The sequence below is a fragment of the Homo sapiens genome, chromosome 12, assembly GCF_000001405.40.
Source record: "Homo sapiens chromosome 12, GRCh38.p14 Primary Assembly".
Lineage (NCBI taxonomy): Eukaryota > Metazoa > Chordata > Mammalia > Primates > Hominidae > Homo > Homo sapiens.
In genome coordinates, this window is record NC_000012.12 from 82946614 (window position 1) to 82968343 (window position 21730).

Sequence of the window (21730 nt, forward strand, 5' to 3'; positions counted from 1 at the left end):
ATTCTGATAATAAGGAGGACAGTGTGAGGAAATGTCCAACAGCCATCTAGCAATAGAGAGACAGATGGAGCCTTGTTCTAGAAACCACATGTCATCATCAGACTCAGAGAGTAGGCATGCACTTTTCTTTTCTTTTTTTTTTTTTTGAGACAGAGTCTTGCTCTGTCGCCCAGGGTGAAGTGCAGTGGCGCCATCTCGGCTCACTGCAAGCTCCACCTCCCGGGTTCACGCCATTCTCCTGCCTCAGCCTCCCAAGTAGCTGGGACTACAGGCGCCCGCCACCACCCCGGGCTAATTTTGTGTATTTTTTAGTAAAGACGGGGTTTCGCAGTGTTAGCCAAGATGGTCTCGATCTCCTGACCTCGTAATCTGCCCTCCTCGGCCTCCCAAAGTGCTGGGATTACAGACGTGAGCCACCGCACCCGGCCCAGGCATGCACTTTCTTTAACAACAGAAATTTCTGGTTAGAACAATCCAAGTTGTCTTAAGTCTACAGGGTGACTGGGTTTTAACTGCACTGTTATTCTAAGGACAGCCTTTAAAAGATGGTATTGTGTTTGAGTGTGTCCCCTGTACATTTGCCTGTTTGAAATAAAATTTCTTTAGAAAAAAATCTCTAAATCTTCAAAGACCAACTTTAGTGTTAGGTGCAAACCTGGGCTGCAAAGTGTGTACTCAGTCTCCTGAAACTGGGTGTTGGAGCAGAGTGCAATTTTTTTTTCTTTTTTTTTCTTTTTTTTTTTTTTGAGACGGAGTCTCGCTCTTGTCGCCCAGGCTGGAGTGCAGTGGCGCGATCTCGGCTCACTGCAAGCTCCGCCTTCCGGGTTCACGCCATTCTCCTGCCTCAGCCTCCCGAGTAGCTGGGACTACAGGCGCCCGCCACCATGCCCGGCTAATTTTTTGTATTTTTAGTAGAGACGGGGTTTCACCGTGGTCTCGATCTCCTGACCTGGTGATCCGCCTGCCTCGGCCTCCCAAAGTGCTGGGATTACAGGCGTGAGCCACCGTGCCCAGCCTCAGAGTGCAATTTTTAATCAAAAGCAACAATCGATGGCTTGGAAAAATAAGCAAGTTGGCCATTTCTTACGCCCTGTTTTTTTGTTGTTGTTTTGTTTTGTTTTAAAGAAAAGTCAAGGGAAATAAGACCAGTAGCCTTATTAAATATAAGGGTAGAATGAATAGAAAAGAGAATAGAAGCAAGTGCTGCTGAGTGTATTTGCCAGTTTTCTCTTAATTTGGCATCTTGATCCCCAGACCTCCATCATTCTGTCAACGTCTCTCAGCCCTTTTTCTCCATTCTTCAGCCTTGTCTACCAATTTGGCTCCTGCTTCCATGACTGAAGCCGCTAAATGATGCCTATGGCAATGAATTGCTCCTCATTCTCTATGACCACTGAGTTCAGTGAAGGGGGCCATTCCTTTTCTGCACCAAAATTAAATCAACAAATGCAACTTTAGAAAGATTGTTACAGGCCAAGCTCAGTGGCTCACATCTGTAATCCAGCACTTTGGGAGGCCAAGGCACGAGGGTCACTTGAGCCCAGAAGTTCAAGACCAGCCTGGGCAATATAGTGAGACCTTGTTTCTATTTAAAAAGCAAAAATAGCCAGGCCTGGTGGCAAATGCCGATAGTCCCAGCTACTTAGGAGGCTGATGTGGGAGAATTCCTTAAGCCCAAGAGACTCAGGCTGCAGTGAGCCATGCTTATACCACTGCACTCCAGCCTGGACAACAGAGGGAAACCCTACCTTAATTTAAACAAAAAAAAAAAAGATTGTTATGAATAGTGTTTTTCTTCTAATTCTGAAGTATTCAGGATAAACCTTCAAGTGAATTGTTGCTAAGTTGAAAAATCTATTCCAAGCAAAAAAATATATATATAGCTTCAGACTTTCATTTTTGGAACTCATCTTCCTTATTTTTAACTTAGAAACTGCTTGTATGACCTAACACCTATTCCCGCTGGTCCATAAGATACATGATACCTTTTCCCCTTTCATAATTTATTGCTTTAACAGCAGACTTTCATTAGTGCACTGCTGTTAAGGGACAAAGAAAACACCCACTTTGTTGAACATTTATGTTTAAAGTGAGTGCATTGCACTAAATCTCTGTGTGCCCATGGGGTCATCTCTAACCCAAATTATAACCATATCTGTGATGGAATCTTGCCGTGAAGCTTTTTTTTCTTTTTGTAATTTTTTTGAGTGTGTTGATTTCTGTAGAATTCTCAAAAGCTATTTTTTTTTTTCCTTTTTTCTTCCCTCTGCCTGAACAAACTTGTTTAAGTTAGGTTTTCTGGCTGTGGACTTCCATAGTGTATCATACTATACCAAAGCATTCAAAGCATATCAACTCAGCATTGGCGCTGCTTTTTAAATAATTTATCTTTTCTAATCATTAAACCTCCATAATGGTACTTTCAAAATATGTTTTGAATGAATAAACAAGTCAGTCTAACTACATTGAGTTTTACTGAGCAAGAAAGGTTTTGGCCTATGCTTGTATTCCAGCGTAGGAGTTCCTCTGCAGTGGTTACACACTCTCCAACTGATAGGTGTTTCTTCTCCAAGAAATTACATAAAGATTAGACGTCCATGTTGGATAGCACCTGCAAATAGCAAAGAATAGATAGTAAATCAGTATATAGGTTTAAAGTTAAATCATTTGTGGTTAGTGCCTTTAACTTGTGTTAGATGCTTTTCATTTCTTAATTTTGTTTGTTTTAAATAAAAATTCTCCCAGAGGATGAAGGAAATACTTGAAAGAGATTTGACTGTGATTCCAGAAGATATATATGGACTTACCAGAGTCATATTTGTTTTCATGGGAAGGGTAATGGGGAAAGGGGAAAAGTTGCTTTTTTAAAATTTTTTAAATTAAATTATCTGGCAACCTTGTACTTTGGAGGCAGCTCAGTGAAATACTTCAGAGCATGTCTTTGGCTTTAAACAGACTTGGCTTCAAATCATTCATTTATTGGTCCTGTGTCTGACCTTAGGCAAATTATTTAATCCTTATTCTTCATCTGCAACATTGGGTTGAGTTGCATTATATAATATAAGAGACGTTAATATAATGTCTAGAAATTTGATATAATTATATGATAATAAAATCTGAAGAGTTTGTTAGCTGGTAATTTTATTCTATTTCTTAGTGTTCCCTGGCTATGCCATTTTGGGGCTATGTCTTATCTCACTGGCAACCACGTCCATGAAGAGGAGTGAGTCCAAAGCACAAGAGTAACTCAAGGAAACCCCTTTATAAGTGTATTGGTTGTGATGCATTTCTTGGTAAAATAGAGGTTGACTGTCATTGGGAGGCTGCAGTTTATCTCACGATGCAAATTCAAGATGCTTACATGTTGGGAAGTGCATGTATAAATAAGAAAAGAAGAGAAATTTGTTGACTGAGATAATTAAGAAGCAGTGTGTATATGAACCAGAGAGAAAGGGCGGGTATTAATACTAAGCTAAAAGCAGTCACCTATTCCCAGTGTTGGTGATTTGAAGCCTGATACCTCTGAATTTGAATCTCATCTTGAGTCTTGACAGCTACATTATCATGGACAAATTATTTAAATTCTCCCCCTTCATTTTTAGACTCTAAAGTAAAAAGAATAATAATTGCTATTGCTAATTGCAAGGGTGGAAAGAAATAATATGAAAAACTTAAACCCCAAGTATTAATCTTTATTACTTCCTGTTGAGTACTGTTTTTAAACTAGGAAAATATATTCACACCTATTATTTTGACATGTGGAAGAAAATGTAGTCTTAGTTATATATTCAAAAGGTAGGTACAAAGTAAATTATGCATATATGAATATACAATGTAGTTCTCCGAATCCTAGATCCAACAATAACAACTAGCTGCATAGACTTAAGTTGCTTAACCATTCTGATCTTTGAACCCTTCATTTTAAGATAAGGTTGATACCTTTATGGGTTCATTGTGAGAAATACATAATAGTTGTAAAGCGTCTTATTCACCACCTGTCACAAAGGTAGTAATGGACTAATATGGAACATAAAGGCTTATTTAGATGTCATAGTCCATGTTCAATCTCAGGAGAAGCCTCTTTGTAATGAATACTCCATTTAATCAAGACTTCACAAACTTTTAAATAAATGATACTGTAGTGAGGATATGTTTCTCTTTCTTTAGACTCTTAAGGAAAAACTCATATAAAAATTATTTTCAAAAGCTGCAACTTGTTATTTCTCTAATAATGTTAAAGAATAACGTTTTTGGCAATCCATCTGAAATAATTAAAAAGTCATTTAGATTGAATGCCTACTGTTTCATATTTAACAGGTTAGAATTTAAAAAAAGAACTTTATGAAAGACAGTGGCATTATTATACTTTATTTAGTTGTCCAAGTCTAAACAAAATTCAATTTAGAACAAATAATTAGGTCTGTGTCAAAAGAAGGATACCAGAGAGAGGGCTTAACTGTATTTTCTGACACCTACTTTGCAGTTTTGTGACACAAGTGACACACTCTGAAACAGATTTCAGCTTTGGAGACCTATGTAATAGAATCATGTGCCCTTATTTACCTAGTTTATGTGTGGCATGGTGGTGGTTTTTCTGTCCATCTCCTTTTTTCCATTTTTCTTAGTTCAATGAAAGTATAGAGCAGGGAAACAACTAGTTCAATACCCTTCCCAGTGGAATTTAACTTTTTTTTTTGAAATGGAGTCTCGCTCTGTCGCTAGGCTGGAGTGCAGTGGCACAATCTCGGCTCACTGCAATCTCCACTTCCCGGGTTCAAGCAGTTCTCCTGCCTCAGCCTCCTGAATAGCTGGGACTACAGGCACATGCCGCCACGCCCAGCTATTTTGTTGTTGTTGTTTTGTTTTCTTTTTTTGTTTTTGTGTTTTAGTAGAGATAGGGTTTCACCAGATTGCCTAGGCTAGTCTCGAACTCCTGAGCTCAGGCAATCCTCCCGCCTCGGCCTCCCAAAGTGCTAAGATTACAGGTGTGAGCCACTGCGCCCAGCTGGAATTTAACCTTTTAAAGAAGGGTACATCTTTTAATTTTGCTCACAGTACATATGATATGCAAAAATCACATAGAATAACGTAGCAGTATTTTAAAATATGTATTCAATTATGCCTTTCACAGCAAGTGTGTTAAGCATTTTTCTAATAACTCGAAAGTACGTGTTTTAAAGAAAGTCGGTCATTTACATTTGCATCCTCTATTAGTGCTTTTCTATCCAAAACACTCTTAGTTAAAATGTCATTTTTAACCAGTATTTAACATAGTTTAATTAAGGAAAAGAGAAAGGGAGAGAAATAGAGTATATGATTTGAGAAAAAAAAATATGAGTAATGAGAATTCTTTTGCTTGGTCCTCGAATACAAAGTCTGCTATCCTAAGATAACCTAAAAGTCACAGAAGTGCTTCATGAGACCAGAAACTATAGCTTTGTCTCTGGTATCTCCCGCGGAGCTCAGATTCAATAACTTATATCTCACTGAACTTTTTTTTCTGAGATGAAAATCCTACCTGTTTCTATTCTACTTAAAAATTTCTGAGTTCACCTCTTTCTAGTATTTGGATATGAAAAGGATTCATATGCCTTAAAAAAATACTACTAATGTCATTGTTCTTTTGGACAAACTGATATCTGTGACCACTCTGATGTCTAGGAACTTAATTTAAGAGTTCCAATTTCATACACCTATTACATTCTTAAATTATTTAATTTTAATTAAATATTTTAATTCCAAGTTTTATTCTTGGCAGTTGTCTAATCTGGTTATCACTCAAAACCAGACAACTCATACTTTGTATTTATTTGAATGTAATTAAATGAAGTTTTTATTAAAATTTCTCTATGAGCGCTATATTTGATGTTACATATTTTATAACTTTATATATACATACACACACAGACACACACACACACACACATATGTATATATGGTTTGTCTTTTTGAGATGGAGTCTTGCTCTGTTGCCCAGACTCAAGTCCAGTGGTGCAATCTTGGCTCACTGCAGCCTCTGACTCCTGGGTTCAAATGATTCTCCTGCCTCAGCCTCCCTAGTAGCTGGAACTACAAGCGCATGCCACCATGCCCTGCTAATTTTTGTGTGTGGTGTTTTTTTGTTTGTTTGTTTGTTTTTAGTAGAGACGAGGTTTCACCATGTTGGCCAGGCTGGTCTCGAACTCCTGACCTCAGGTGATCCACCCACCTCGGCCTCCCAAAGTGCTGGGATTACAGCCATGAGCCACCACGCCCGGCAGCATTATACATTTTTAAAAACACGAATAATGCATATGGCATTTTGTCAGTTGGGAAGAGGTTGGTTGTCAAGTGATAAGAAACCCAAAATAACAGTAGCTTAAACCAGTTACACATTTTTTAAATCTGTCTTTTAAAAAGGGAGTCCAGAGATGTGCAGTCCTTGCTGGTTGGACAGTTTTATAAAGGGCTTAGTTTCCAGGACTTGTGTGTTAGTTTTGGTTTGACCACTACCTCCCTCAACACAGGACTTCTGCCTTACAGCTAGCAGCAAAGAGGTGGGGTAAGGGAGGAAGTGCGCTCCTTTCAGGTGATTTCCTAAAGCAATGCAGGATTCTTGTGCTGCTCGTGACATGACCAAACCTGGCTGCATGTTTGATCGTGGTTCTTTTTATGTTTTCAGTTCCAACACAGTGGCTAGTGCATATTAGTTACTTAATTCCTAAGCTCTTGTGTCTCTCTAAATTTTGGAATTACTGTAATTAATTCAAGTAGTAGCGACTTATTTACAGTAAGTGAATTTAAAAAGGATTTTGAATTTAATTCCTTTTATTGCCAGTGTAGTCACTTGAGAATTTTGACTCATATCTATTTTATCAAACAAGATTTGGGAGCATTTGTGTTTCATGAGTGTACCGTGCTATTAAATTATCAGTCCTGTTGAATGATAGAGATTAAAGATTTATTTTTCCAAGTGTCATATTATAAATGTTGCTTAAAACTAAGCATAATTCTTGGGAAAAAAGTGAGCAAATGTGTCTGTGTAATCACATTTAACAATTAAGTTATGTAAAATCTCATTACTAAAGCCATTAGCTAAATAAGCAAATTTGATTAGGAAATTTGGATTAATGCAAAGTTCAAATATGACTGCAACCAATGTTGGTTCATTTCAGTTTGCAAATTTCAAATGCATAAAAAACCTTAGGAAAAAATGTGAGTATCTAAAATTTATGTTTTATCTCTGAGAAAAAAAAAAAACCCTTAGTTTCATAGTCCTTATGTGTGTTAAAGGACAATCAAACGAAATGAAATTCAGAAACATCTTTTAGTTTAAAATGAACATACTTCTTAAATAACTGGGTATTAAAAATATTTTGTGAATCATTGCCTATAAACATTGTTATCTGACTTATTTTGATTATTATTTTTTTTGTCCAGGGAATAGCCAGACTATTTATTACTGAAACTCATTCTTGGTAATATAGTCCTAATTTTCATTTGTCTTAGTTTTTTAGTTTCCCAGATGCTTCCTACATAGATTTTGTCATTTTATTTTCATGAAGCCTGTTATTATTGCTATTGTTAGGTGAAAAATGCTATCCTCTGTAACTCTTGAGTTTTCGTACACATGGCTTGATCTGTCTGGAATGCTCTTGTCGGCATTCCTGACTTGGTCCTTTTTTTTCTCGTCTTCTCTAGGAACTTCACCTCACCTGTTCTCTTGGGTAGGTGTTCCTTTCATGGGTTCCCAAAACACCTTACATTTTATCATGACCCTCTCTACACAGTATTGTGATTGTTTGCTTGTCTGTCTTCACTGTGAGACAATTCACTGAAAAATTATTTATTCATTATTTGGTAAGCTCCTTGTCAATGTTTAGTGTATTGTTAAGAGTGCTGCACATTGCACTTTAATGAAATCAAAGCAAGAAAGAAACTGTTTATCCTTCAGTATTTCCCTGGTTTTGAAGGTATGTGATTCCATGTTAAGCAGAATCCTGTTTCCCTTGCGTGTTGCAGGGACATCAGCTGTGTTACTGAAATATGTACTCTTGAAAAGCATACTTTCATCTCCTAATGTGCTTTATTCATATCCACACTTGAACCTCTCAGATTTCAACCACTTTTTAAGACCTTTGTTAGAACAAGAGGCGAAAGGCCACTTTACTTAAGGATTTGGATGTTTTGATAGTTCTATCTAGAGGGCAGTCTTACTACAAAGAGACACTGACAATTTGGTCAGATGTATTGTCAGAAGTAGGAAAGGGTGTGCTTTTCTGTTTAATTTTTAGAAAATTTAATTTTTCTTTTACCTTTGTGAAAATAGAAATGGTAGGTTAGACTTTTTAATGAAAAATAATGTAATCCTTTTAATTTGCTTTTCTGTAGTATATCTTCTTGTATAGTTGGTGTGTGTGATTAGAAGAGACACAGGGCTTTATTTTCTGAAGAAATGTATTGTAGTTAGTTGATATGAAATTCTAATCAGGGTTTTTCAACTTTAGTGCTGTTGACATTTTGGGCTAGGTTATTCTTTGCTGTGGAAGGCTGTTCTGTGCCTTGTAAGATGTTTAAAAGCATTCCTGGACTCTACCCACTAAATGCCAGTTACATTCCCCAAGTTGTGACAAGCATAAATGTGTCCAGACATTGCCAAATATCCCCTGGGGTGGGAGGAAGTCAGTCCTGATTGAGGATCACTGTGCTAAATAAATGTTCCTCTTCTTTCTCTGTCAATGTTTAGGATCACCTAGGGACCCATATGCCTATTTACATTTAATGTTTGCGTTCAGCTCTGTCCAATCCACTGTTATTGTGGGTTTGACTGTTCTTTATTAATCAAGTGTCCAGATTATTGTGATTTCATAAAATATTATCTTAGACAAAGACAGGGTTGTTAGGGGAGATGGGAGAAAAGATGGGCAAAATGTTCCTAGGGAAAAGAAATACTACACATGCAGTATTACTAGAACATGTGATGATGATCAGGGGAAAAAAAGAGCTAAAAGGATTTAAAAGACAACATTTTGTTATTTTTCTTTTTTTAGTAACATGATTTTCTAGAATTTAGGTCTTAGAAATAGTAGTAGTTCATATCTCCAGGTGTATTTTCTTTCTTTGACCAAAACAAATACTGATTATTTCTCTTTCCCCAATTATTTTTTCATCACTGTCTGCTTAATTTCATTGTCTGTTGTTCTAAAAGATAAATCATTAGAGGAGAAATCTGAGAAGTAAAATATTATTTTAAAAATGCTGTAATAATACCCACCTACACATGGATACATAAAATTGACCCTATTACTTATAATTTAAGAGACTGGAAATATTTTTTTTTCAATTTCTCCCCCAAAAGGCACTTTAAATTCACATTAATATATAGCATGGGCCAGTTTTCTTAATTTTCAGGCAACTCCGTATGATATGGACTTACTGCCACATTAAAATACGTTCTTCCACTGTATCAACCTTATGTGAAATCCTTGAGTTGTAAACATGGAAACAAAATAATGATAACTGCTACCAAAAACACACTTAAGTATATAGCCCACAGACCCTATAAAACAACCACACAATAGAAACTACAAAGCAACAAACTAGTAACTTCATGATAGGATCAAAACCTCACATATTAATATTAATCATTAATGTAAGTGGTCTAAATGCTTCACTTAGGCACAGAGTACCAAGTGGAATGAAAAATATATATATATATATGTCTGCTGTCTTCAAGAGAAACATCTCACACATAATATGACACCCACAGGCTCATAGTAAAGGGTTGGAGAAAGATGTAGTATGCAGACAGAAAACAAAAAAGAGCAAGAGTCACTATTCTTCCATCAGATAAAACAGACTTACTTCATTTATTTGTTTGAGACAGAGTCAATGTCACCCAGGCTAGAGTACAATAGTATGATCTCAGCTCACTGCACCCTCCATCTCCCATGTTCAAGTGATTCTCCTGCCTCAGCCTCCCTCCCAAGTAGCTGGGATTACAGGTGCCCACGACCATGTCTGGCTAATTTTTGTATTTTTAGTAGAGATGGAGTTTAACCATGTTGACCAGACTGGTATTGAACTCCTGACCTCAGGTGATCCGCCCGCCTTTGCCTCCCAAAATACTAGGATTACAGGGATGAGCCACTGCACCTGGCCAGGTAAAACAGACTTTAAATGAGCATAAGTAAAAAAAGTACAAAGAAGCGCATTCCATAATGTAAAGTGTTCAACAAGAAGACTTAACTATCCTAAATATGTATGCATTCCACATTGGAACACCCATATTCATGAAACAAGTACTTTGAGACCTACAAAAAGACATAGCCACACAATAATAGTGGGGGACTTCAACACCCCACTGACAATGTTAGACAGATCATTGAGGCAGAAAACTAATAAATTCTGGACTTAGATTCAACACTGGACCAACTGGACTGATAGATATCTATAGAATACGCTACCAATAAACCACCCAATATACATTCTTCTCATCTGTACATGGAACATCACCCAAGATCGACTACATGCTTGGCCATAAAGCAAATCTCACTAAATTAAAAACAAAACTGAAATCATACCACCCACACTCTTGGACCACTCTTGGAATAAAAATAAAAATCATTACCTAGGAGATCTCTCAAAACCACAGTATTACATGGAAATTGAGCAACTTGCTCCTGAATGACTTTTGGGTAAACAACGAAATTAAAACAGAAATCAAAATTTTTTTAAGTAAATGAAAACAAAGATGCAACATACTAAAGTCTCTGGGATACAGCAAAAGCCGTGTTAAGAGAAAGTTCATAGTCCCAAATGCCTACCTCAAAAGGCTAGGAAGATTTTAAATTAATGATCTAACATCAAACCTAAACTAGAAAAACATGAGCAAGCTAACTGCAAAGGCAGAAGAAGAAAGGAAATAACAAAAGTCAAAACAGAACTGAATGAATTTGAGACCCCAAAATCTAAAAGAATCAATGAACCCAAAAGTTGGTTTTTTTAAAGGATAAAGAAGATCTATAGACCACTATCAAGATTAACAAAGAAAAAAAGAGGGACGATATTAGGTTGGTGCAGAATACAAATAAGTACAAAGAAATATAAAAGATCCTCAGAGACTATTATGAACACTTCTATGCACGCAAACTAGAAAATCCAGAGGAAATGGATAAATTCCTGGAAACACACAGTTTCACAAGATTGAACCTGGAAGAAATAAAAACCTGAACAGACTAATACTGACTTTGGAAACTGAGTCAGTAATTAAAAAAAAGAAAAACACAAAAAACAAAAACTTACCTACCAAATAGATCTGGACCAGATAGAGTCACAGCTGAATTCTACCAGATGTACAAAGAACTGGTACTAATTCTGCTAAAACTATCCCAAAAAATCAAGGAGGTCGGACCCCTCCCTGACTCATTCTATGAAGCCAGCATCACCCTGATACCAAAACCTGGCAAAGACACAAGGAAGAAAACCAGGCTGGGCACAACGGCTCATGCCTGTAATCTCAATACATTGGCAAGCCAAGGTGAGAGGATCACTTGCCCTCAGTTGTTCAAGACAAGCCTGAACAATACAGCTAGACCTCATCTCTACTAAAAATCAAAAAGTTTACCCAGGTGTGGTAGCGCACACCTGTAGCCCCAGCTACTGAGGCAGGAGAATCGCTTGAGCCTGGAAAATCAAGGCTTCTGTGAGTTATGATCACACCACTATACTCCAGCCTAGGTGACAGAGCAAGAGTCTGTCTCAAAAAAAAAAAAAAAACAAAAAAAACAAAAAAACTACTGACCAATATCCCTAATGAACATAGACACAAAAATCTTCAGTAAAATACTAGTAAACTGAATTGTGCAGTACATTAAAAAGGTAAGTCGCCATGATCAAGTAGGCTTCATTCCTGGGATGCAAGGTTGGTTCAACATGTGCAAATCAAAAAAATGTGATTCGCCACATAAGTAAAATTAAAAACAAGAATTATATGATTATCTCAGTATATGCAGAAAAAACTTCCAATAAAATTTATCAGCCCTTTATAATAAAACCCTCAAGAAACTAGACATTGAGGGAACAAACCTCAACATATTAAGAGCCATCTTTGACACACCCACAGCCAACATCATACTAAGTGGACAAAAACTGGAAGCATTCTCTTTGAGAACTGGAATAAGAAAAGATGCCGACTCTCACCACTCCTATTCAACATAGTACTGGAACTCCTAGCCAGACCAGTTAGGCAAGAGAAAGAAATAAAAGGCCTCCAAATAGGAAAAGCAGTCAAACTAACTCTTTACTGATAGCATTAATCTATACTCAGAAAACCCTAAAGACTCTGCCAAAAGGCTACTGGAACTGATAAATGACTTCAATAAAGTTTCATGATACAAAAATTGATGTAAAACAGTCAGTAGCATTTCTGTACATGAATAATATTCAAGCTGAGAGGGAAATAAAGAATGCAATCCCATTTACAATAGCCATATACACACACAAAAATATAGGAATATTTCTAACCAAGGAGGTGAAAGTTCTCTACAAGTAAAACTACCAAACACTGCTGAAGGAAATCACAGATGACACAAACTATGGAAAAACATTCCATGCTTATGAGTTGGAAGAATCAATATCATTAAAATGGTCATACTGCCCAAAGCAATTTACAGATTCAGTGCTATTTCTATCAAACTACCAATGTCAGTTTTCACAGAATTAGAAAAACACTATTCTAATATATGGAACCAGAAAAGAGCCTGAATAGCCAAAGTAATTCTAAGCAAAAAGAACAAACCCAGAGGCATTGCATTATTCAACCTGAAACTCTACTATAAGGCTGCCATAACCAAAACAGCATGGTACTGATACAAAATCAGACACATAGACCAGTGGAACAGAACCTGGAATCCAGAAATAAAGTCTCACATCTACAGCTATCTGACCTTCGACAAATTTGACCAAAGTAAGCAATGAGAAAAGGATTTGCTGTTCAGTAAATAATGCTGGGATAGCTGGCTAGCCATATGCATGAAATCAAATTGGATCCCTCCTTTTCACCATATATAAAAAATTAACTCAAGATGGATTAAAGATTTAAGTGTAAGTCCTCAAAGTGTTAAGAATCCTAGAAGGAAACCTAAGAGACACCATTCTGACCATAAGCCTTGGGAAAGAATTTCTGACCAAGTCCTCAGAAGACATTGCAACAAAAACAAAAATTAACAAGCAGCACCTAATTACAGTAAAGAGCTTCAGCATAGCAAAAGAAACTATCAACAGAGTAAACAGACAGCCTACAAAATGAGAGATGTTTGCACACTATGCATCCAACAGAGGTCTAATATCCAGAATCTATGAGGAATGTCAATAATTGTACAAGCAAAAGACAACACCATTAAAAACAAAAAAAAGAAAGATATGAGCAGACACTTCAAAAGAAGACATGAAAGCTGCCAACAAACATAAAAAATGCTCGACATCACTCATCATCAGAGAAATGCAAATCAAAACCACAGTGAGATACCATCTCACACCAGTCAGAATGCTATTATTTAAAAAGTCAAAAAAACAATAGGTGCTGGTGAGACAATGAAGAAAAGGGAATACTTATAAAAACAGTGTGGAGATTTCTCGAAGAACTTAAAACAGAACTACCATTTGACCCAGCAGTCCTGTTACTGGGTATGTACCCAGAGGAAAATAACTCATTCAATCAAAAAGACACATGCACTCACATGTTCATTGCAGCACTAGTCAAAATAACAAAGCTGTGGAATCAATCTAGGTTCTGTTAATGATGGACTGGGTAAAGAAAAGGGGGTAAATCACCAGGGAATACTACACAGCCATAAAAAGTATATAATTATGTATTTTGCTGTAACATGGCTGCAGCTGGAGGCCATTATCCTAAGGAGATTAATGCAGGAACAGAAAACCAAATACTGCATGTTTTCACTTGGAAGTGGCAACTAAATATTGGATATTCATGGCCATAAGATGGCAATAAAAGACACTGGGGATTACTAAAGCAGAGAGGGAGGGAGGAAAGGAGGAAGGGGAGCAATGGTTGAAAAATTAACTAAGTGGTACTATGCTCAGTACCTGGGTGATGGGATCAGTTGTACCGGAAACCACAGCATCATGCAATATATACATGTAAGAAACCTGTACATGAACCCCTTGAATCTAAAAAAAATTTTAACAAATATATAGGTATCAGGTTTTTTTAATTTAAAAAAAATGTATAATGTGTTCCTGTTTTTCATATAGAAACCAGAAGATTTGGACATGATCTGCATGTAAACAAACTATGTCATTTTTAAACAGTCATGAAAAGTCATAAAAAGCCTTTAGTATGAATGATTTATTAAATTACAGGTCCTCATGTATATCCAGACTATTAGGTTTGAATTTTGGCACCTTCTTACCTGTTGTTTGACCTTAGGTATGTTACTTAACTTTTCTTGCCCAAGGTTCGTTATGTGCAAAATGAAGAAAGTAATAATATCCTACCTCTTAAGATTATTGTTGAATAATAAAGTAATATATGTAAAATGCTCCATATATTCTAAGTGCTGAATAAGTTTCTCTGCCACTATTATTATTATTATTATTATTATTATTATTATTATTATTGTAACTATTGTAACATGAAGGATTTCTGTTTATCATGTTATCAGTAAAATAAAAAAGGGTTTTCTCAATCTAGAAAATAACACTAACAGAACCCTAGTCATAACAGTGCTAGAATTGGCCCAAATTTATCCAGAACTTCCAAAATGGCACTTGACTCCTTTTCAGTGTATCAACACAAATTAACATTATATAAAATTCGGCAAGTTTTACAGCAAAAAGAAACATAACCGAGTACACATGTACCTGGAATTGAAGTATTTCATCTCTTTTCTCTTTTCCTTCTAGAAAGAGCATGAGATTTAGTATCGGAAACTGTTCTAATTCTGGCTTTGCCTCTTATTAATCATAATAACTAGAGGGAGTTGGTTAATTCTCTGAGCCTCTCTTTTTCCCTTTGTAATGTGGAGCTGATAACTCTTTTTACTGTGGGGTGCTTTCAGCGTCTGCCTACTGGCAGTCTCCAGTCCTATTTGGACTCCAGACCTTTCCTTATCCATTCCTGGGCTGGGTAATGTTGGTCCTCTGTCCTCCAGTACAGTAATTTTCTACACCATTTGTTTTCTTATTTGTCTCCCTCAGTAGATTTTGCATCCATAGGCAAGTGCAACTCTGTCTTGTTCACATTTGCAGCATCCATTCTTGGGCATAGTTAATGCTCAATTAAATCCTTACTTAGCCCATAAGAAATCAGTCACAATAGTCATCTATCTTAGACTCACTCTATTGCTAACTTTATTCAGATTATGTAGAGGACGATGATATTCTAATTCAAAGACTCACAGTATATATATATTCCTGGAAATGACTTGCTGAATTCCTCTGAGTGACTAGGATCCGGCCCCTCCCCACAAGAATAAGGCAGGCAGAACAGGGTTGTCCTAGTGTGGTTATTATACTATTTATCATTTTTTTCTTCTTTGTATATTTTATGAATTGGATAATGACAGGAATATAGTCTATCAGCATTGGAATCCCAGGAGGCTAAGTACATCAGTTTTCAATGATTTTGGGCTTTAGGTACATTGTCAGAGATATGTGCTCATTCCCTTCATGTTCATTCCATCTAGCCTAATAGCATGTTTGCCCTTTAGGAATGTAATTATGTGGAGACTAATTAGTGGGCTATTGCCATCATTCAGGTGACAGAAAAGATAAAAAGGGCTCTGACAGAAGCATAAAGATAAACCTTGATGGGCAGAGTAAAGAGCCTTAGAAAATAAGAATAGGTGGGCTTAGTAGACAAAACATGGAATTGTGAAGATAAGTGAAGACCTAAGAGTGATAATCAGGTTTCTCATTTTAGCAACTGGAGTGAATGACTGTGTTAATTACAAAGATTTTTTCCCTATTTTATTTATTTCATTTATTTATTTTTAGGTGGGAGATACTGATTTCATATTTTGGATGTATTGATTTTGAAATTTCAGTGAGCCTCTACCTTGATGTGGCTCAATCAGCTTTTGAAAGCAGATCTGGATGTCAGGAGGGAGATCATTTTTTCAAAATTGTGAGCAGTCAGCATGTACATGAGCCACATTTATGCATTATGTCATGCAGAGACTGTAGTTATCCACAGAGACTGTATTTATTCCTAGAGACAAGTACAAAATCCTGTAAAACACCAACTCCTTTTAAAGGAGTTCATGAATAAAGAGACATTTTCTTTTTCATTCTGTGTAGGAGGGTCTCAAGAAGAGACTGGTCTCCCAGGAGCCCAGGAAATACAGAGTTTCAGGAAGGAAGGTGAATTCAGTAGTCTGAAGTGTAGTAGTTGAGTGGAGTTTCACATAGGTGCACTATTTTGAGGGTTTGATGATTGGTAGAAATTTAATAGGACATTTCAGGGGAATTCTGGGAAGAGAATCTAAACAGGATTTAGGGGTAAATGGGATTGGGGCATTGGTCATATACACCACAGACCATTCTTAAAGAAAATCTGGCTTTGAAGGGAAGAACGATCATAAGCAATAGTTAGAGGTGGATACAAGAATGAATACAGGTTATACGGGTGTTTTCTTCTCCTATGTCTAAGAGGTACACGAACATTTTTGTGTTCTTAAGAAAAGAAAACCGTATGATAAAAGCAGCTGAAGATATTGGACAAAGAGGGGTTGATTGAAGGATTTTAATTTCTAAAGAAGCTAGAAAAAATAGAATTAAATATCTAGATGGTATTTCTCCCCTGGTGCACTTACCCTTCTATCAAGGGAGATGCACCTCTTTATCTGAATTTTTTTTTTCTTTATCTGAATTTTAAAGCAAAGCCATGAAGACATTTAAGGTTGTAGAAAAGTTTCAGAAGTTAGCTAATATGTATGAGTTTAATTAATGGGAAAGCATTATGTCAATAAAATTATTGTCATAAAGAGTATTATTCCTTTTTAAAAATTTTTTCATCCTCTTTATCAATTTTACCCATGTTTGAATAAAACTGACCATTTCCACAAATGCTTAACTACTGCAGGAAGCTTTATTCTCTCTTGTTCCTAGCAGCAGACAAGAACACTTCACAGCACAGCATATTAATTTCATGATCAGATTAACTGTTGTCCAGATTTTCATATATATATATATATATATATATATATATATATATATATATATATATATATATATATGTGAAAGTGATCTTATTGTGTTTGGGAATTCTTTATTCAGATGACTTTGTAGCAACTATGAGAAATAATGAAGTTTTTAATATATGCTTTTGACACAAGTGAGCATTCTTTAATTTTAAATATTTTACCAAGATGCTCATTAAATAATGTATTTTAAAATGCTTAACAGAATAAGTTTTTATTAGTAGTCTTCTCTTTTCTCTGACCTCCCTTTTACCAGCCTTTCACAGACCTCAGCAGCTGCCAAGTTGAATCTGCAATTTGAGATGATAACAGCAGTATTCAGGCTCAATAGATGTGCGGAATGTCTGTAAGATACTTAACTGATTACAAGAGAATGGGGATAGGCCAAAAAGCCCTCTGTGCGAGCTTTTTGAACTTAGTTCAATTCTCCAACACCTTGTTTTCATAGACATGCCTGTAATTGATTTCATTCGGTCATGAGGGTGGGTTCTGGCATGGCTGAGATATTACATGCAGTTACTACCTTAGAGCCTTCTAAGAAAGCCTATGGAATCTTGGGGTCTGCAGAGAAAGATGTTTTTCAGAACAGTGAACTGAAATTTGCATAGTGTTCCGAAATCCAGTCTTATTCAACTAAATCCAAATATCAAGAAAAGGGTGATGTTGATAGCCTTCAGTCTTTTTTGTTGTTGTTCTTTTTTGGCGTCTGATTAAACTGTGACTCTCTTTTTGCTATTGAGCCAGACTACCTTTTGCCTTTCAGGCAGCCAAGCACCAATATTTCCCAAGCAACACAGCTAGTGAGAGAGGCATCTCATGTTTCCACATATACATATCTCACTGCCTTAGGCAAGCTTCATTTCCGAAGTGATGGGAAAATGTGCATGCTCCAAGAAGAAAACCAGGTGGTTAGTAATTCTAGTGGGAGAGAAAAGACAGCTAGAAAAGGGGAAAGTTCAGTGGTGGTAAAAGGCTTTTAGAAAATACCTCCTAATACTTTCTAATGCAGCACAAATGCAACGGATACCTATCCAGTATTTTCCCTCCTGAGGAATCATTTCCTTATATTTAGAATTTATTTTTATATTACCAGGTTAGCATTTTTACTGTGCTGTTAACCATTTTTATTTTTGGAATATAAAATAAAAATTTGTGGTTTTATATATAATAATACAGTCCTTTCTCTAAATTTCTGTTTTCCTCATGCAGAGGGCTACTTCTCCAGGAGAACAGCAGGTTTGCAGAAGCACTACATTATTATAAATTGGCCATTGGGAGCAGGCCTACCCTGGCTTGTAAGTAATACTCAAGTGTTTATTTTTTTATACCTCTTTCCATATTTGAAAATTAACTCTAATTTACAGCCTCACTGAGAAAACACTTGGTGCTCTTATTTCTGAATACTCGCTAATCAGATTATGAACCTCTAACAATTATATCTCAATTGCATCATACTTTAATGTCCATTGATCATTAAAAAATTATGATAGCTATAACTTTTACTCAACTATATTTTAAGCTTAAAATATTTGGAATTTCTTGCTGGCAGACACTATTTCATATGTTCTGCAGTGATATTTGCAGTTTCACTACCATTATTGATCCCATGAGTATTTGTGTCATAAGTATTTTTTTCTTTTTTAATGAGCACTAAACCATAGAAACCAAATTGAAACAAAGAAAACTTTATTTTATTCAAGTGTATATCATCTTCTCACACTTTTGTTTCCACTTTTCCCCCTCAGCTGCATATTTAAATACCGGTATTATTCTAATGAACCAAGGAAGGACGGAAGAAGCCCGACGGACATTCTTAAAGTGTTCGGAGATCCCAGATGAAAACCTAAAGGACCCTCATGCACACAAGAGCTCTGTTACCAGTTGTTTGTACAACCTAGGAAAGCTGTATCATGAGCAGGGACACTATGAGGTCTGGCCAATGCCTCTCTGTCCTTTTCCCTCCCCCTTGTTCTGATCCAGTCTCAGTGGTTTGTAACCTACAGCCTCCTTTGAGCCTATGTCCTTTGAACAACTAATATGTATACACGTTAAACTATTGTCCTTTGAGAAACTAATACATGATGACATTGGAATGGTTTTTTGATCAAATTTGTTTAGAAAAAGCTTCTGCTAAATAAAAATTTAATAGATTTCTTTCCTGTGAGTTTCTCAGAGCAATTATGGTATGTCAATATGTATTGTGACTATTCAAGAATGGGGAAATAACATGTAATGTTTCTCGAGCTTCTTTGCTCACCATTTCTTTGGTTTGATGACCCAAGACACAGTTTCTAGAATTGTTACCCTATGCCCAGTGTTTGATATTTTAAAAAATATATTCTTTGTACTTTAAGGAAGTGATTTGATATAAATGCCACCCATTTCTCTTAATTCTTTAAAAAACTATTATGAAATAAAATGTAATTTTATTATTTCTTAACTGAGGGAAAAGAAACAGTGGTGTAACAGGATGTTGCACAGTAAGTTAGGAGGTGACCCAGACTAGTCCTCCCTTCCTCTGACAGGAAGCCATGCCTGCATGAGTTCCTTATTGCCCCTCTCTCCCCTTCAAACTGCTTTCCCCTGCCCTCCCACTCACGTACTCTTATGCAATGTATTAAAACTATACTATAAGGATGGAGATACAACTTTTAAAATAATTGCATTTAGTAATTTCTGTGGGTTTCAAGAGCTGGAAGATTTGTTAGCTGACATTATATTAGATCCTACCAGGTTTCCTGACTTAAAGTAATTATGCACTTTAGATGACTAATGGGTAACTTTCAAATATGTATATATATATAGTTTTTTTGGTTTTTTAGTTGAGTAATCTGCATGAACTAGAAAATTTGTATTAAAAGAGCATTGCCAACATTCGATGCCTCGTTAAGCTATGGCATTCTTCACTGACTGGGCTGAGTGTTTTCATTGGTGGAATTGAGATAGTATGCCACAAAAGGACAGTTCAATTATTTTCCTCTAGTGAACCATTTAGAAATAGCAGTGGATGGTTTTAACTTTGGAAGAAAGTTATTATCTTATTTTCAGTGACGATCCCTGCACTTTATTGATGATTTATCTATTTTTTTTGTTTTATAAATTAGGAAGCCCTTAGTGTATACAAGGAAGCAATTCAGAAAATGCCAAGGCAGTTTGCCCCACAGAGCTTGTACAACATGATGGGTAAGTAAAACATTAACACTTTTAAATTGATATTTCAGGGACCTGTGGAGAAACAGGAACCCATGTTCGTGTTTAATGGAATTCTAATAAATCATATTAATCCTCACAAAAGAAACGTTCACAATCTGGCATCATACTCAAATTCTGACAGAGCATATTTATTCTGACATGACAAATAAATGCATTAAAGCAGCGATTCCCAACACCTTGGTCATATCCCAGAATTATTGCAAGGGACTCTCAAAAACATCTGGGTATGGAATATTAGCTAGACTCTAGAGACTGTAGAAATAAATAAGCTATATATATGTAATTTTTCAATAATAGTAATAAAGTATACATTAATTTTAGTAAGTGTATCAAATTCATAATTTTTATTAAAATTTAATTTTAAATTCAGAGTAATATTAATAATAAAAACAAGATTATGCAGACAATAGATATGCTACAACAATTATTCTATGTTTTATGTTGAAAAATTGCCTAATTCTTATTAATCAGAAAGTATGTAAGTCTAGGCCATGGATTTTTCTGATTATAAGAGGTCAAGAATGAGAAATTATAATAAAATATCTATCATCTGTGATTGATCCTTGTCTGCCTTGTAGTAAATTGTTACTACAGCTGTTTGATGATGGTTACCCCTGCAAACCACATATTCAGCATATGACACTTGGAAAAAAATCCCTAAAGTAAGGTGGCCTAATGACTAATTAATATTGCTGCTTGGAGATAATAAAGAGAAGAGAAGCATTTTGTCCTCAAATCAAATATTTCTTTTTTTCCAAAGCATAAATTGTAAAGTCAAATTTTCCCTTTTCATTAAACCTGCTTAAGTTGTTTAATATTTCTAGTCCTCTCTCATGCATATAAAATAAATGAGATTAGACTATATAATCTCCAGGATTATTGTACACTTCTACATTCTATATTTGAGGAATTTAATAGTAGCTATATGTCTTGAGCACAGAAAAAAATCCCAAACCTCTCCCAAACTACAAAATACACACCTGGTAAGAACACTCACGTTCTCTTTTTTACAAAGGACAGAACATTTAGAAATAGTTTAGAGATAGGCTGGAGTACTAGACAGTAAACAGAAAAATAAAATTATTTGGAAGAGGTTAAAATATTTATTCCATGTCTCTGGGAATCTCACCCTCAATTTGCCTGTGGAGTGATTGAATATCATATTAAACAGCACACTGGAGTGTTTTTTAATTGTCACTTTTTTCCTCTTTGGTATAATTACTAAAAGGTAAAATTTAGCTTCATTAAATATATTCTTGCCATTAAATTTTTATAAATTAAAACAATGCCTTTTATTATTCAGCATTTCACCATCA

At 35.8% G+C, this 21730-nt stretch overlaps 1 protein-coding gene across 6 annotated transcripts in view; it reads left to right on the plus strand.

The window, feature by feature from the left end:
* Positions 1-21730, plus strand: part of TMTC2 (transmembrane O-mannosyltransferase targeting cadherins 2) — a 447961-nt gene that overhangs the window by 259708 nt on the left and 166523 nt on the right. For 5 of the 6 annotated variants that reach the window (XM_017018884.3, NM_152588.3, NM_001320321.2 and 2 more), the window contains 3 exons: positions 18411-18496; positions 18947-19131; positions 20306-20384. In XM_017018884.3, the coding sequence (XP_016874373.1) occupies positions 18411-18496; positions 18947-19131; positions 20306-20384 (350 nt within the window). Of the gene's footprint in view, positions 1-18410; positions 18497-18946; positions 19356-20305; positions 20385-21730 lie in introns of those variants that run through there. The other variant, NM_001320322.2, reaches the window with a different exon arrangement.